The sequence below is a fragment of the Homo sapiens genome, chromosome 6, assembly GCF_000001405.40.
Source record: "Homo sapiens chromosome 6, GRCh38.p14 Primary Assembly".
Lineage (NCBI taxonomy): Eukaryota > Metazoa > Chordata > Mammalia > Primates > Hominidae > Homo > Homo sapiens.
In genome coordinates this window covers 12,395,017-12,413,262 of record NC_000006.12, presented here as the reverse complement: position 1 = coordinate 12,413,262, position 18,246 = coordinate 12,395,017, and the positions used below count along the sequence as shown (strand labels likewise).

Here is an 18,246-nt window from a genome sequence, read left to right as displayed (position 1 = left end):
ACACCCCACTGTCCTGCCCTGGGTGAGGCCTTCATCTGTACTCTTTCAGTAGTCCGCAGGTAGATATCGCTGATACTAGTCCTGTCCCTTCCCACCCATGATCCCCTTAGTCCACAAGACTAACCTTTTTCTACTTGAAAAACTGAACTCTTTATGTGAAGGGTGAAGAAGTTGCAAAATACACCCAATACAAAAAGCTAAATCTAGCCGGGCATGGTGGCTCACGCCTGTAATCCCAATACTGTGGGAGGCTGAGACGGACGAATCATCTGAGGCCAGGAATTCGAGACCAGCTTGGCAAACATGGCGAAACCCCATCTCTACTAAAAATACAAAAAATTTAGCCAGGCGTGGTGGGTGGTTGCCTGTAGTCCCAGCTACTCTGGAGGCTGAGGCAGGAGAATCGCTTGAACCAGGGAGGTGGAGGTTGCAGTGACCTGAGATTGTGCCATTGCACTCTAGCCTGGCAAAAAGAGAGAAACTCTTGTCTCAAAACAAAACAAAACAAAACAAAACAAAAAAACTAAGTCTTAGTTCTAGACCAGTAGTTCTGAAACCTTAGCATGCATCAGAATCACCTGCAGGGCTTTTTAAAACACAGATTGTTGCCCCCTCCTTTGCCCTGAGTTTCTGATTCAGCGGGTCTGTGGTAGAGTCCAAGGATTTGCATTTCTAACACACTGTCAGCTAATGCTGTTGCTGGTGGTAGAAATCACATTCTGAAAACCAGTACATCGGAATTTTCAGTGCGACAGATTTGGACAAGAGCTGAGTTTGATTGAAACATTGCATCTGAGTTCTTTAAAAAAGTAATCAATTTCTGTTAGGCCATTGAATACGCAAGTTAAGAGCTAGAGAAAAGGGTCAGGTTTGGAGATAAAAAATTTGCACGCCAGCGTATAAGAAATACTATAAATGAAACCATGGAGATGGATAAGATTGTTTAGGAAAAATGTATACACCAAGAAGGAATGAAAGAGAAGAAAGCAAACTAATCTCCTGAAAAATCATTTTCATCATGTCAGTTTTTGAACAAAAATTATAATTGCTTCCCATTTTTGGCTTGGTGGTTCTCAAACCTTTTCATCTAATTCCTAGAGTTTGTAGTGTTCTCTGTAGATACAATAAAATGTTAAGTACTTAATTATGGTACGATATTAAGGACATTTGTGACTATAAAGTAATCATAGTTAATACCTAATTGATTGCTTCTTCTGTACCAAGCACTGTTCTAGTAACTACATAAAAACATAAATATAAATATAATAAATATACACGTGTAGTTCCATGAGATGGGTATTATTATTATTTTATCATCATTGTACCCATTTTGTATATGAGGAAACTGGGACCCAGGTAAATAAAATAACTTCCTCAAGGTGATATGCCTTTGAGAAGCAGACCTGGGATTCAGTCCCAATCTGCCTCTGACTCTAAGGTCTTTGTTCTTAGTCATTGCTCTGAACACTGCCATATCTGACTATAATAAATATGTGATAGATGTAATAAAATACTAGAGCCTGAAGCTCCAGTCTTCCTTAAAAACAAAGCAAAAAACAAGCTTTCAAATTCCAAATGATTGTTTGTCTCTTTCACTCCTAATGTCTTTTAGAATTAAGCTAGAAGCTGATCAGCAACAGTTATCAAAAGTTCAAGAAAAATTATGAGTTAAAAACAAAAATCCCAACACCACTTAGAATGAGATGACTTATTCCTAACTTACCTCCTAACTACTTCTATGATTAACTGAGACACCAAACAGATTATCTGATACTCTAGTGCAATACCTTGTCCAGCCTATCGTTCTCCAGGTTTCCTCAAAAGAACTTACGGGAGTTTAGGGGCCACCATATTGTGTCGCTCTTCTGTTTAAATTTCAGAGCCCACCATCACCTGACCACCCCTTGGCTACTGACTCACCTATGTCCACTATTCCCCAAGGGCACCACTGCTCCAGTCGGGAAGGATCCTTTTGTTTGTTTGTTTTTAATGTTGTTTCTGTTTGTTTAAGTGATTGTTTTTCACCAGCCTATACACATAGTGGCCTCTGTCCAGTGTTTGTTGATTTCATGGTTGTCCAGAATGAGGTTTATCTCAAAGATCGGTTCAGGTCCTACTTTCTCCTGGGCATTTCCCTGATGGCTCTGATTCCCAATTGTGTATCCCTTACTCCTAATATTGTTAGTCTGACTCACTCAAGTTCGCTCTTACTGGTTAATTAGGTCCCTTGCAGGGAGCCCTCTTTTCCTAGTAAGAAGGGAAGCTCGTTGAGGGTTTGCCCTAAGGCTCACTTCTTTATATACAAAGGAGTCATTAGCATCAGGCTGAGTACATGTCCTACAAATACATGTAAACGGTTTCATTTTCCCCAGGTGGATGAAGTTGGGTGCTTCCTGTACATTGATTTTGCTTCCTTCTGGCTCACCAAGAAAATCAAGACCAAAAAAGTGACTGAAACCCAATTACTTGGGGAACAGATGAAGTAAGTGGGAAGCACGTTTTATGAATTCTATTTAAAAGTTTAAAATAATTAACAGGTCAAGTGAAACTATCATTCTATCATGAAGCAAGTTCATAACCAACATTTGATTTCTAAAACATATTTTATATTGTTAAAAATATTTGCAAGAAAGAGAAATCTCTATATATGAGTGGCCCAGAGAAGCTGTTTTACTTTCAAAGTGAAAAGACTAGAATTTTGTTCATCTATTTAACTTTAACAGAATCTTAATTATGTTATGTCACTGAATCTGAATTATTTAAGGGTCACAGGAATTTTATGCTAATAGAAAATATGGCACATATGGTGAACAGAAAATGGAAGAACTTTATGTTTACCAAATGTTGCAAAATGCAGAAATTCAATCTAATCCCTAAAATTCCTCCTCATTATTCACATTGTATTAGAAGGAAACATACTAGCTATTTTCAACAATTTTAAAATGTTGCAATCATTGTCCCTTTGATGATTCTGACCTAGGGTTTCTAAGACATTAATTTGCCTCCTGCTGTTTCTTCTTATTTTGGCCATGATTTTGCTGAAAACAAGTGTAAACTGAAGGAATGAAATCAAGATGCTAAATAATTACAAAGACTCTTAAAACTGTGGGTTGTCAATAAATAACAGCCTTTCCCCATTATGTTTACCATTTGAAATTCTAACTATCCTTTTACTTTTTTTATTTTCTGAGAAACATAGAAAGCGGTAAAAGAAATTATTATTAATATATGATTAATATTAATATATGATTAAAAAGAAGCAGTAGAAACACATAGGTAAAAGAATTCTTCAAAGAGGACAGTTTAAATTCCACTTCTTTAAAGAAAGCTTTTAATATTGTAGTCTGGAATTTTCTCTCCTTAATCAGAACCCACAAATCACCTGCATAGAGTTTTAATCAACCATTTGGACTTTAAAAAGTAATTATCTATCGACCTACGACTTGTCTCCTCAATAGCTATTTCAGATTGAAGTGAGGTGCCTTTACCTTCTTGGTATCCAAAATATTTGTATCATGCCTTACACATTGCACACACATAATAAACAGAGTTGGTCAAAGAGTCATAAACAACAGTTTTGTTTCAGCAAACAAGCATTCCTACAGACTTGCATGGATGTTGAAATTTCTTTAATTTAATTATATTTTAAATATATAGGGATTTTTTTATTTAAAGGAGTTGGAGAAAAATTGGGTCTTAGAACAAGCGTTAAAAAAAGTCTAGTGTAGTTTCCAACTCACATAAACATATATCCTTCTAGAATGTTCTTGAAAATGGGAGTTGAGCCTCTGTTGAAAACTTCCAGCAGAGTAAACATAGCGATTACATCAGAGTCTGAAAAATTTCTGTCCTCTTTTTGTGACTCTTCTATAGAGCAAGGCATCATTTTCAATCTATCTTTTAAAAAACAATCTGGATTTCCTACATGTTTACTTAAATATATGTTATATTTAAATATAAATACATATTTGAAAACACAGACTACATTGTATCTGCTCGTGTACTTCTCACAGAGGTTTTCCTGAAACATTGAGACAGTGCAAAAGTCTTTCGAGCAGCCAGAGATTCATAGTTACCGGTTAGTAGTGTGAGAATGAGCCAGCTCTGAGACAATATCAATAATAATCCGGTAAGTGCCTGCAGCCTCTAGAAAATGAAGGAACAATGTCCTCCCTTGGCAAGGAGTCTAGGTTAGCCCCTTGGAGCCACAGGTAGAATGCAAATTTGGAAAATTATGCCGCCAATATGCTTCAGCTGTAGAAAAAATCTGTCGTAAGATGCTTATCAGACATCCTTTTATTGTCTCCCTAACAATGGAGAGCAGCTCCACAAGCAGTCGTTTCGCATGCTATTCTGAGCAGAACAGAGAACGCCAAATACTCCTAAGAAGAATACGGGCATGCACAATGGGAGGGTACCCAGGAGGAAGGTGATGCAGAGGTATGGGCGTCAGGATGAAACGCAGAGACAGTGATAAAGATGTTATGCAACTTGTGCCCATCTCATTTCCTCTATTCATTTTAAACCATTTCAAATAAGATCTACTTTAGATATGTAGTGCTAAAGACCATGACCCACCCCGAGAGTTTCTATTGTTGCTGTTAATGTGACGGCCAACAATTAGCTTCCAGGAACACTTGTAACAACCATAACTGATTTGTGACAACTTATAGAAAGATATAAAAGGGGGGCCAGGTGCGGTGGCTCACAGCTGTAATCCCAGCACTTTGGGAGGTCAAGGTGGGTGGATCGCCTGAGCTCAGGAGTTCGAGAATAGCCTGGGCAACATGGTGAAACCCCATCTCTACTAAAATACAAAAAATTAGCCGGGCGTGGTGGCTCGTGCCTGTAATCCCAGCTACTCAGGAGGCTGAGGCAGGAGAGTCTCTTGAACCCAGGAGGCGGAGGTTGCAGTGAGCCAAGATCGCACCACTGCACTCCCAGAAAGAATAAAGAACTCTCAAATCAGGAATGAATTTGGTTTTGATAGCAAAGGACCCATCTTCCCCGTTTGTTCTGATGCTGAAGGATTGGGTCCCTACCAGCTCCTTTGTAACAAGAAGCTCTTAATGCTGGGTTTGGCCTTGCTGGGGGTTTTCAGGTAGTATTGACCTGTCAGTCAACGCCAAACTTCATCCTAGCAAGGGAGAAATATGCTAAGCCACAATAATAACGCACTTTGGTGTTGTACCTTATTGCTACTACAGGTACTGGCGTGAACTTTAACTTTTCTTGCTGTATCTGTATTAAGAACTGTCACTCTCAGTGCTTACAGGATTAGGAAGAAAGGAAGTTATACATGGCTTCCAATTTAAAAATTTTAAGCAATTGGGCAAATGGAAAATATCTTTTTACTGTGTTTTATGGAGGAAATTTTACAGCTCTTTTCAAACAATATTTCTTCAACAAGGGACTGGGCTCCGAAGGTATAAAGATGAATAAGTTGGTAATATGCTTGAGAGGACTGATGTGTTTCCATGAGAAAGAGCCAACTTCAATGTAGTGTGGCAAGTACTGTGATAACAGATTTCCACCGGGAGCTGGGGGCGAAGGGAATGGCCAGGCTCAGGGAGGGAGAGCTGCACTGAGGGGTGACTTCCCATGCTGATGGCACCTCCCTTTCTCCATCCCTAAGAGGCAGGGTTAAAGGCAAGGAGGACAAAGATTCTAATAGGATATGTGGCAAATGTTTTACTTATTAAAACAGCATTTCTGCTCTTGGTCTTCACCATCCTTAGAATCAGTCTCTCACTGTCCTTTGCTCACAACTTATCTCCTTCCTTTTAGATTTCCCTCTTTGTGGATTACTTGTTGCTTTCTTGTCTCCCCATCTCGAGATAACCCTGAATTTAGAAGGTTGAGAAAAAATAAAACCACAAAAATACAGTGCTGTATCCAGGTGACTCAAACCAGCTCTGGTTAGTGCCTTAAAGATATCCTTTCTCTTGGGGTGTACATTTCTGTGCTTTTCTCACTAGTAATAGTGTGTGGTTGCTTGGAGATTTATTAGGGATGAGAAAGATGATTATGGTTGTAGATGGAGTGGGACAGGCCCTTAGATTTTGAAATATTGGCTGGCTCCTCTGAGATGTGACTTTCCATGTCCCAGGCACTGTTTCCAGGCATTGTTATATCTGTTGAAATTTTGTCACTGGAGTGAACATAAAAACAACCTTGTCTCAAATTCTAACTCTGATGATGTTTAATCCCATGGCATAGGCATGTAGAAAAAAAGGTCCCATTGGGACCCCATCAATAAATGCTGTTGTTTGTTTGTTCCCATCCACTTCAGGCACCAGATGAACAGCAGAAAAAATGCTGGGCTGCTGATCCTGGGTGGAGCAGACACATAGGTCCTTCCCCATCCATATCATGGCCCAGAAGCAGTCCATGCACATCCTACTTGGTCAAAGGAAGCAGAGGTAGAGGGTGCAGAAAGATGTTGGCACCATTCAAAGTTGACATTTCATAAAGAGATGGAGGATGTGAGGGTGATCTGGCTGTGACACTTGTCATCACATTGATCCCCAGGGTTGATTTGGCTGATCTGGCTGGCTAGGTGGGTGGCCCCTTCCTTCTACACAGCTCCATGTGCTGTGTGCTTGGTTGAAGAAGACGATCTTCCCCAATAGAGGAGGACCTTTCCTTGTTCACAGGTGTACAAGTAGCTCCTGCTAGAACTTCCAAACAAGGTTCATTTGTAGGAGAATATACAGCAGTCAAGACTCCCGGATTCCACATCCAGAATGAGGTGTTGCATTTGGCAGTTTCTGCTTTGAGAGAGAGACAGAGAGAGAAAGAGAGAGAGAGATTAGAGAAATGAGCTGCATCAAGGACATATCAGAGTGGAGATCCATGCAATCTGGTGTCAACACCATCCTGGGCTCCAGAAGGCACTGACATACCTGGCCTCTTTTCTTGAATACCATGTGATCCTCTCTCTCCTATTAGAATGTATATCCCTAGAATAACCCACATCTCAGCCCTTCCAACTACTCTCAGTAACTGAAGGTTAAGTCAATAACTAGGTAAGATGTTTGCACATACCTGTTACACCTTCTGTGCTGGCTTTAAGGGATACAAAGAGGATACAGGAGACTTCAGAAAGCTAAATCTAGCAAGATAGGCAGGCACATAAACATGGAATCACAATATTGAAGTGTTATCTGCACTAGGGCACTGCTATGGTTTAGATGTTTGTCCCCTCTAAACCTCATAATGAAATTTAATCTTCCAATGGGAGATGTTTGGGTCATGGGGACAGATCCCTTATGGGTAGATTAAGGCCCTCCCTTGATGTTGAGTGAGTACTCATGCTGATAGATACCAAGAGAGCTGGTTGTTTAAAAGAGCCTGACATCTCCCCGCTACCTCTTGATTCCTCTCTCACCATGTGATCTCCACACATGCAGGATCCCCTTTGCCTTTTACCATGAATGGAAGCAGCCTGATCCCTCACCAGATGCAGACGCCCAATCCTGAACTTCCCAGCCATCAGAATTGTGAGCCAAATAAACCTTTTTTAAAAATCAAGTACCCAGCCTGTAGAATTCATTTATAGCAACACTCAATTAACTAAGACAGACATCCTTTAGCAGAAGCAGCAGTGGCTAAAACATGTCTTGGTTCATTAGGATTTTGTGGATTAACATAATAATAGCATATTTACACGTCCTCAAAATGTATTCTTTCTTTTTCTCTCTCTTTCTTTCTCTCTTTTGTCATTTTCCTTTTTATCTTTTTTTTTCTTTGTAAGTATTGTATGCCAAGAGAAAATTTTGTTCTTTTTTAGAACAGTAGTTGAAATGATACAAACTAAAATTAATATATAAATGTACATGGCAAATCAAGCCAGTAAATTAAATGCGACTGTGTCCACATGTACTCTACTAGAGTAAGAGAACCTCTTCAAGGCCAAAGGGGCTCCTAGAGGTAGGTTCCTACCATGTGGGCCCCAAAATGCCCAAAGTGAGAAAAGAGGACCTGCTGCTTAATTTTTATCCTTTTGATTTTAAAACAATAGAAAACAAAAAGCCTCATCCTGTAGCACTATTCCAAAGTTAGGTCCCAATTCTGTACTCCTCAAGCCTCAGAAGTAAGCAGTAACTAGGCCTAAGAGTAATTTCTGTGTGTCGAGCCCTCTTCAAAGATTTTATACGTATACTATTACATTTAACCCTCCTATAAGATGGTGCTATTATTATTATTATATCCATTTTATGAATGAGGAAAACTGAGGCACAGTGAGTTTAGGTAACTTGCCTCAGTACTTCCCCAGGACAGTGTAGATAAAGGCATGATAGAAGCACTTCTGGATTGGCCCAGCTTCTCTGGGGAAAAAAAATCAGAGTTCTTTGTAGAAAGCCCTTCTACAGACAGCTGGAGGCAGCTGGTGATGGTTTACAGTTTGAATTCACACCTTGCAAAAATTCCCCCTGGAGTCAATCATATTTAAGGAAGTAGCAATCCTGTGATTTCAGGGAATTTGAGAAATCTTTCTAAATCCCGAAGTATTAACTAACTCCAGCCTTTCTAGGGGACATGATCATCTCTGCATCATTTGAGGAAAACATGAGAATGATCCTTCCATTTCAAAAGATAGTGGTCAACCTAAGTTTATCCTCAAATGTCAGGTGAAGATCCGTACCTTTACTGAGAGCAGGTTTGGGTAGGAGGAGCATCAAAAAATCTGGAAAAGACTGAAAAGGCTGCACAGAACAGACAAGACAGAAGGAGAGAGGGGGCCAGAAGACAAAATTCACAAATGTCCAAGGGTGCCAAGGCCTGACTCACTCTGACCAGGCAGTTTCAGCAGCCGTGGGGCCCCTGCAGAGAGCAGGAGCAACAGGGGCACCCTCAAGTCTGGTAGCCCTAATTAGCCTCAGAGCCTGGCCCTGACACCACACAGCTGGTGCCTCGGCCCATTGGCCCATTGTCCTCTCAGTGTCCATAAGACCATGAGGCCCCCAGACTACTGCTACTATTGTCATTATCCTCTGCCTCTGGAGGGAGACATGTAAATTGTCAGGGCCAGATGACATCTGACATGCCAAGCCATTTTTAAAGGGAGGAGGTTATACAAAGCCCTTTCAGATGCTGGAATTCATATCCTCCGCCCATTACATAAATCCCAGCTAATTCTTAAAGACTCCAAAGACTTGGGCACCACGGTGTCTGTCTAGTGGTTAGAATTCCTAGGTTTTCTCCTTGGGCCTAGTTAGGAATTTTCTCACAATCACGAATCCCCTGAAGATGGAGGCTATTAAAGAGGTTCCAACATCATCTCTTTGTTGGCAAAATCCTAAAGCTTCCCTTTTATTTCTGTGAAATACAGATGTGTAGGGAGCTGAAAAGGAAAGTTACTCCTCCGAGATGACAGATGGCTTGTTAAAGAACCAAGAAAATGAAAAATCAGCAGCAAAAAAAAGAAAAGCACTGGACTGGGATGTCCTCCACCACCAACCTTCCATTTCTGTCATGACTTAGACTATGAGCAGGGAGTGGGAGATGGAAAAGGACAAAAGAGCAAAAGGCAAATGGGGGAAAATGTCCTGGAGTTTTGCATATTTCTTCCAAAGCAGCCTTCTTAGCCTGCCCTCTGGCCCTGCAGTCTGAGTTCAGAAGTGCTGGGTGAGTCAGTGAATTAGGCTCTTGCTCATGTCCTGACTTCACATTGATCAAGAATGCCCTGAACTCACAGTGATTTAAAGTGTGAACCTGGGACATTGGTGGTCCTCAGAGAGCACTGATGCTAAAATGAGAGTCCTTTCCTAAATTCTTACAGGCAGATGGTGGTGCAAGGTTATCGATTTTACACAGGGCCACTTAGTACTAACCTGCCAAGTAAAGTCTTACAAGTTACACAGACTTCCTATTCATGAGCCAAGAAAAGCCACATGTTGGATTTTACTGAGGATTCTAATCCCATGCTCAACAAAAACTTGAGCTTCTTGGTGGCACTGCCCAGCTCCTGTGAAACCGGCATAGGCATCAAGATTTGGAATTCTGAAATTTTTGAGAAGGTGGCTTTCAGGTTAGTGCTTCAGCACTTTTGTCTTGATTGGGCAGTTTTTGATGGCTGTCATTCTTGCATTTTAATGACAAATTATTCTAGCTTCATTTATTAGTCTAGCTTCATTTATTAGCAATTTAGTTGGCCCCATAGTGTGTAGTGACGCACTTTTCCATGAAGTTTACTTTTGGCCTATAATTTCCCAATCACTAAACTAAGATATGTATGTGTTATGGTTCAAATATGAATCACCCACACTCTTGCACTAACACAAGTATAAGCTCCCAACATGTGCTTATAGCACTTCCAGGTGACATCTGCCATCTATATATGTGTTCCATTTAAGTAATTTTCAGCAAATTAACAAGATAAATATAAAAATACAACCGGGTGCTGTGGCTCACGCCTGTAATCCCAGCACTTTGGGAGGCTGAGGCAGGCAGATCACGAGGTCAGGAGATCGAGAAGACCATCCTGGCTAACACGGTGAAACCCTGTCTCTACTAAAAATACAAAAAAAATTAGCCGGGCGTGGCGGCGGGTGCCTGTAGTCCCAGCTACTCTGGAGGCTGAGGCAGGAGAATGGCGTGAACCCAGGAGGTGGAACTTGCAGTGTGCCGAGATCGTGCCACTGGACTCCAGCCTGGGTAACAGAGCAAGACTCTGTCTCAAAAATAAAAAATAAAAAATAAAAATAAAAATCCTACTGGGTTAGTTTCAGGTTTACATGACACAGCATCACAACGTGAAATCATGTGTATAAGCTCAGATGCTTTTCACATACATTGATTAGTGATTCTTATATATTGCCAATAAGTTTGCTGTAATGTGTTTGATCTTGTTTCTTTCCACTTTTATAAGACCAAGGTGTTCATTTTCCTAGTGGAAAGTGTGAATAGACAGACTGAGTAGGTCATGGACCTTTTTTCCTGCTTAACTTGGCCTTTGTCTAAAAAATGTTTGAGACTTATAAAGCACTGTAGAAGGTACCATTAAGAAAAAAATTTTGTGCTTGATGATACAATAGCCCAAGGGATTGAAAGTACTATATGTGATAAATCCTCAGACTATGTCTCTATCTCTGTCCCCTTCATTGTCACCACCATTAAAGGCCTGAAGTGCTATCCTACATCCTCAGCTTACTGGACTACCCCAGAGGCATATTGAGGGAGGAAATAAGACTTTAGCTTTAAATAATATTTTTAGTCTCATTATAGGAATAATGCATGTTCATATTCAAAACTTTGGAAAATAGAACAAAACTCTAAAGGCAAAAATATTAATGACCAAACATTCTATTGCTGACTCTTGATACATTGGGATATTTTATCTGAGTCCTTCTATTAAACAAATATAGGTATAAATATAGATTTTTGTTACAAAATAAGAATCATTTTGCACATGCTGTTTTGTAAGATACCTTCCTGAGCAACATATCCAGAACATTTCCCCAGGTTATTAGATGTTATTTTCTTGTAATATCATTTTTGTGGCTGTAAAATAAAATAAACTATGATATAAATATATCGGAGCTTATTTAAACAATTCTCTTGGGTACAGGATCTTGTCATTGTAAAAACAACTTTATGCCATTCTTGAAGCTAAATCCTTCCTCTCATCCAGGTTCTTTTTTTTAGTGATTAATTTCTAGGAGTGGAATCATTGGGTTGAAGGTCAAAAATAATTACTGGGCTTTTCAATCATATAATCAAGTGCCCTTCAGAAATGAAATCAGTCTCTTTTTGCATTTTCAAGAGAAAAATGGGATGTTGGGTGGCAGAAAGCCCAGTTTCCTGCCTCTCTTGGAAAGTCTGTCCTATGTCCAGGCTGAGTGAGAATTGGCTGGCTTGCTTTGTGAAGGCGACTCCAAATAGTCCTGCCATGACCTTGAACTATACGAACTGCCTTTACTTCATACCCATTGTTGAGAATCTAGAATACAGGGGAAGAGTACTGGGCTTGGAGACAGACTGTCTGAGTTCAAGTCCTGAGCCACATACTATCCATGTGAAAAACTGGGCAGCCTAATGCCTCTGGATTTATTTCCACGTCTGTAAAATGAAGGATTTGTTCTGGATGATCCCTATAACATCTTACAATTAACAAAATTAGTGATCTATTTTGTGTTTTAGACAAGCCATTGATCTATTCATCTGCACATGTAAACTTGTAGACTGGATGCTTAATCTCTGCAAAGTTTCAAATCTAGATCCCCTGAGGTTTGTTGACCATAAGAAAAGGCTCAAAATGAACTTCCATTAAAGAGGTGTTCTATATTTCATGAATGTCACATGAATTTAATCACTTCCAGTTGGCAATATTCACAAATAATAAAAGGCTTTTAGATGCCCATTTTATTTTATTTTTATTTATTTTATTTCCATAGGTTATCGGGGAACAGGTGGTGTTTGGTTACATGAGAAGGTTCTTTAGTGGTGATGTGTGAGATTTTGGTGCACCCATCACCTGAGCAGTATACACTGCACCCAATTTGTAGTATTTTATCCCTCACACCCTTCCCACCCTTTTCTCTGAGCCCCCAAAGCCCATTGTGTCATTCTTATGCCTTTGCATCCTCATAGTTTAGCTCCCACTTATCAGTGAGAACATACGATGCTTGGTTTTCCATTCCTGAGTTACTTCACTTAGAATAATAGTTTCCAATCTCATCTAGGTTGCTGTGAATGCCATTAATTCATTCCTTTTTATGGCTGAGTAGTATTCCATCATACATATACCACAGTTTTGTTATCCACTCATTGATTGATGGGCATTTGGGTTGGTTCCAGATTTTTGCAATTGTGAATTATGCTGTCAAAAACATGCATGTGCAAGTATCTTTTTCATATAATGACTTATTTTCCTCTGGGTAGATAACCGGTAGTGGAATTACTGGAATAAATGGTAGTTCTACTTTTAGTTCTTTAAGGAATCTCCATACTGTTTTCCATAGTGGTTGTACTAATTTACATTCCCACCAGCAGTGTAGAAGTGTTCCCTGATCACCACATCCATGCCAATATCTATTATTTTTTTGATTTTTTGATTATGGCCATTCTTGCAGGAGTAAGGAGGTATCACATTGTGGTTTTGATTTGCATTTCCCTGATCATTAGTGGTGTTGAGAATTTTTTCATATGTTTGTTGGACATTTGTATGTCTTCTTTTGAGAACTGTCTATTCATATTTGTTACAAATTCTGGATATTAATCCTTTGTCAGATGTATAGATTGTGAAGATTTTCTCCCACTCTGTGGGTTGTCTCTTTACTCTGCTGACTGTTCCTTTTGCCTTGGAAAAGCTCTTTAGTTTAATTAAGTCCCAGCTATTTATCTTTGTTTTTATTGCATTTGCTTTTGGGTTCTTGGTCATGAAATCCTTGCCTAAGCCAATGTCTAGAAGGTTTTCCAACGTTATCTTCTAGAATTTTTAGTTTCCAGATCTTAGATTTAAGTCGTTGGTCCATCTTGAGTTGATTTTTATATAAGGTGAGAGATGAGGATTCAGTTTCATTCTCCTACATGTGGCTTGCCAATTATCCCAGTACCATTTATTGAATAGGGTGTCCTTTCCCCACTTTATGTTTTTGTTTGCTTTGTTGAAGATCAGTTGGCTGTAAGTATTTGGGTTTATTTCTGGGTTCTCTACTCTGTTCCACTGGTCTATGTGCCTATTTTTGTACGAGTCCCATGCTGTTTTGGTGATTATGGCCTAACAATATAGTTTGAAATCAAGTAATGTAATGCCTCCAGATTTTTTTTTTTTTTTTTTTTTTTTTTGCTTAGTCTTGCTTTGGCTATGTGGGCCTTTTTTTGGTTCCATGTGAATTTTAGGATTGTTTTTTCTAGTTCTGTGAAGAATGATGGTGGTATTTTGATAGGGATTGCATTGAATTTGTAGATTGCTTTTGGCAGTATGGTCATTTTCTCAGTATTGATTCTACCCATCCATGAGCATGGGATGTGTTTCCATTTGTTTGTGTCATCTATGATTTCTTTCAGCAGTGTTTTGTAGTTTCACTTATAGAGGTCTTTCGCCTCCTTGGTTAGGTAGTCCTAAGTTTTTTTTGTTTTTTTGTTTTGTGTGTGTGTGTGTTTGTGTATGTGTGTGTGTGTATTTTGCAGCTATTGTAAAAGGGGTTGAGTTCTTGATTTGATTCTCAGCTTGGTCGCTGTTGGACACTCATTTTAAAAACAACTGCATAACCTATGTGCTGCTCCTCTGTCATGGGACACTCTAAAAGCTACTGCATGGAAACATGATGTTTTATGTTAGTCCTCAGAATCATGACCAGAAACAGAGGTGAGAAGCAGGATCCCATTCAGGGCAGTAAATTGTCCCAAGTCAGCAGTTCACTTACCTTGAACAGAGAGTGCCTGTTCTTTGGTTTTTCAACTGGAAAATAACCCATAAATGATGTAGTCTCTTAACCAGATTGAAGAGGCAGTTTGAAGGAATGCATATGAGCTGAGATCAACTTTTATTGTTTGCTATCTGTGCTAATTTATTATTCTCACCTGATTCATCATCATTTCTCAGGGGCAGGTGAGCACAGAGACTCAGCCTGCTCAGAGGTGAGCTCTGCATCGTTTCGTCAGCTGTCACACGGCTTGTCTTGCGCTTGGGCTTCCTAATTAGGAGAGTAAAAAACTATTTAATTTTCTTTCAACCATGAAAACTATCATTAATTGAGAGCTTACTATGTGCCAGAGACTGGGCTAAACACTTGACATACATTGGCTGATTTAGTTGTTAAAACAACTGTGTGTATGTACAAGTATCAGTTGTCAATTATAAATAAAATAAAATGTGTAAAATTGTGTTTGTAATTAACACCTAATAATTGTACATATTTATGGGGTACAGAGTGATGTTTTGGTACATGTATGCCTTATGTGATAATAAAATTGGAGTAATTAGCATAACCATCACCTCAAAATACTTGCCATTTCTTTGTGGTAAGAACATTCGAAATATTCTCCTCTAGCTATTTTGAAATATACAAGACGTTATTGTTAACTACAATGACGCTCCTGTGATATACAGCACCAGAACTTATTCCTCCTTTCTAACTGTAACTTGGGACCCATTGACCAACCTCTCTTCATTTCCCCCTCTTTCTTTCCCCTCCCCAGCCTCTGGTAACCAGTATTCTACTCTCCAGTTTTTGGAGATCAACTTTTTTAGATACTTGTCCTTCTGTGCTTGGCTTATGTCACTTAACATAATGTCCCTGTAGGTTCATCCATGTTGTTGCAAATGATAGGATTTCATTGTTCTTTATGGTGAATAATATTCCATTATGTGTATGTACTACATTTTTAAATTCATTCATCTATGGATGGACACTTGGGTTGATTTCATATCTCGGCTATTGTGTATGTGGCTGCAATAAACATGGGAGTGCAGATGTCTGTTCAACATACTGATTTTATTTCCCTTGGCTATAAACCCAATAGTGTGATTGTTGGCTCACATCGTAGTTCTATGTTTAATTTTTTGAGGAACCTCCATACGGTTGTACATATTTTCTGTACTAATTTACATTCCTACAACAGTGTTTAAGAGTTCCCTTTTCTCTGCATCTTCACCAGGATACGTTATTTTTTGTCTTTTTGATGACAACCATTCTCACTGGGGTAAAGTAGTATCTCATTGAGGTTTTGATTTACATTTCCCTGATGATTAGAGGTGTTGAAGATTTTTTTCATAGATACCTGTAGGTAATTCGTATGTCTCCTTTTGAGAAATGTCTCTTCAGATCTTTTGCCAATTTTTAAACCGAATATTTTTTCTATTGAATTGAGTTCCTTATATATTCTAGATGTTAACCTTTTGTCAGATGCATGATTTGCAAATATTTTCTCCCATTCTATAGGTTGTCTCTTCACTCTGTTAATTATTTTCTTTGCTGTGCAGCTTTTTAGTTTGACATAAACATGTTTGTCTATTTTTGCTTTCGTTGCCTGAGCTTTTCAGTTCTTATCCAAAAAAATCCTTGCTCAGAAAATTTTCATGAAGCAGTTCCCCCTAAAAAAACCAAAATCAAAAAACTCTGTGTGCAAAGTATGATTACCATAATTTTTTTTTTTTTGAGACAGAGTCTCACTCTATTGCCCAGGCTGGAGTGCAATGGCACAATCTCGGCTCACTGAAATCTTCACCTCCCAGGTTCAAGTGATTCTCCTGCCTCAGCCTCTCGAGTAGCTGGGATTACAGGCGCGCACCACCACGCCTGTGTTTTTAGTAGAGATGGGGTTTTACCTTGTTGGCCAGGCTGGTCTCGAACTCCTGACCTCGTGATCCGCCCACCTCAGCCTCTTAAAGTGCTGATATTACAGGCGTGAGCCACCGCGCCCAGTCTGATTACCATAATTTTAAAGATAAAGCAACTGATAGGTGTAGAAGGAGGCAAAGTAATTTTCTCAAAGTCAAACGTCTAGGGAACGGTAAAATTGGGCTCTAAATGCAGGCTTGTCTGTCTTCAAAGCCAATATTCAGTTTAATGAGATTTATTTTTTAAAAAAGGACTTTTAAGGAAACATGCTAGGAGTTCCCCAGTAGATGTTTGTATCTGCAATGAAACAGAATGTATTTTATTCACTCAAGATTACTAGATTTTCAATACTTATTACTCTGGTTTATCTATGCATTCTTGCTTTGCTTCAAGAAGATCAAAAACTCCCATTTACATATTAACGTATAAATATTTTGAACATTTAACCTAAAAGTAACATTTAATCCCTTAGCTCAATATTTTTAAAGTGTGTTACCTTTACAATCATTGAAAAATAAATTTTGTAGTGTGATTTAGTAAACACACCCCCACACATATAGTGGATAAGAAAAAGAATTTCATGAAACAGTATCTCTTCTTCTCATGTAAAATGTAGCCTATTTTCTATTCTCTTTAATTTCTTTCATTTTTTAATGCTGATTTCACGACCTTCCAATGGGACTTGTAGCTCAACACACTATACTATAAGAATTTGATCAGTAGAGGACATTTGCTCTAGGGTTAGTGGGTAATTGCTTCATCATCTTCATTCGCTCTTCTATTCCTCCTCTCTCTCGTGCTCGCCCATCAGAAGAGGAATCCAATGCTTCATATCAAATATTTTAATTTCTCAAAACTCTCCTTCATTTCCTACTCCAAGGGAAGTCTGCCCTCTAATGATGCAAAAGCACCATTGATTTCAAAGACTCATCTCTCAATAAATGAATGAAAGGGAAAATTTTGAAAGTCAAAGGATTGAAGGGACCTTAGAGTTCCTTTAATCTGAACTTCTTATTTAAAATTAATGGAAACTGAGGCACAAAGAGGCATCTGACACCTCATTTCTATGTGGGCTAGCAGCAGGTGAGACAGGGGTGACATCCACATCCCAACACGAATCAGCAGGACTGTACCTGGGACTCTGAAAACTGTCATTAACCCACAGCCCTGAGCAATGAGGATTGAGCAGGGCCTCTGCCAGGGCCTGGATTCAGTGGTAGAAATAAAATCAAATTCATATTTTAAGAAAGACCCATTAATTTAGACTCAAGGGAACAAAATAGGTGGATTAATATAACCTTGATTCTGAATATTTTGGCCAAAATCATATCAGATACTCTCCTAAGGGACTCCGAGGAATCAGTTGATACGTGGCTATGAAAACAATGACAAGAGAACATTTCTCTGTGTTTTAGAGAGGAAGGGCTGAAAAGGGGGCAGGGTAGAAGACAGAGCCTACCTTTCTTTGCCCTTCTACTCTCTGTTGCTGAAGCACCTGCCTCTCTTTCTTTGTCCTCTATAGTATTGATCACTGTATTATAATTGTCTACTTCTCTGTAGCCAAGTGACTACGTTATCTTGTGTGATGAAAACAATCAAGTCTATCTGCCTGAGAATTCTATCTTCAGTGTGTATTGAGCTTTTCCGCTGAATGAATTAATGAGTGACTGAATAAATGCATGACTAAATAATTGAGCATGCATACACTGTGCTAGGTGTATTTGGAAGAGTACTTCCACTTGCCTATTTCCTATCCACTTTTTAAGACCCAGCTTAAACATCATCTTTTATAGAAACTAATTTTCAAAATACCCAGAGAGAAGAAAAAATTATTCTACCGGGCTCTCTTTCTGCTCCATATGTCCTGCTTACAGCCAGTAGATTATTCAGGAATTTTTGACTTGCGTTCTACCTTTTAACGAATGTAGTAAAGTACTCATGGATGTAAGTGCTAGAG

At 39.1% G+C, this 18,246-nt stretch overlaps 1 long non-coding RNA gene and 1 pseudogene across 1 annotated transcript; one reads left to right on the top strand and one right to left on the bottom strand.

Annotated features, from left to right (window-relative positions):
* Positions 1–5,334: 5,334 nt before the first annotated feature.
* Positions 5,335–17,789, bottom strand: LOC105374931 (uncharacterized). The gene is made up of 3 exons (XR_926488.2): positions 17,749–17,789; positions 14,530–14,642; positions 5,335–6,770 (listed from the first exon to the last, which is right to left on the bottom strand). It is a non-coding gene; the product is annotated as an uncharacterized LOC105374931 (long non-coding RNA).
* On the top strand, positions 6,482–6,777 carry RN7SKP293 (RN7SK pseudogene 293; annotated as a pseudogene).
* Positions 17,790–18,246: the final 457 nt, after the last annotated feature.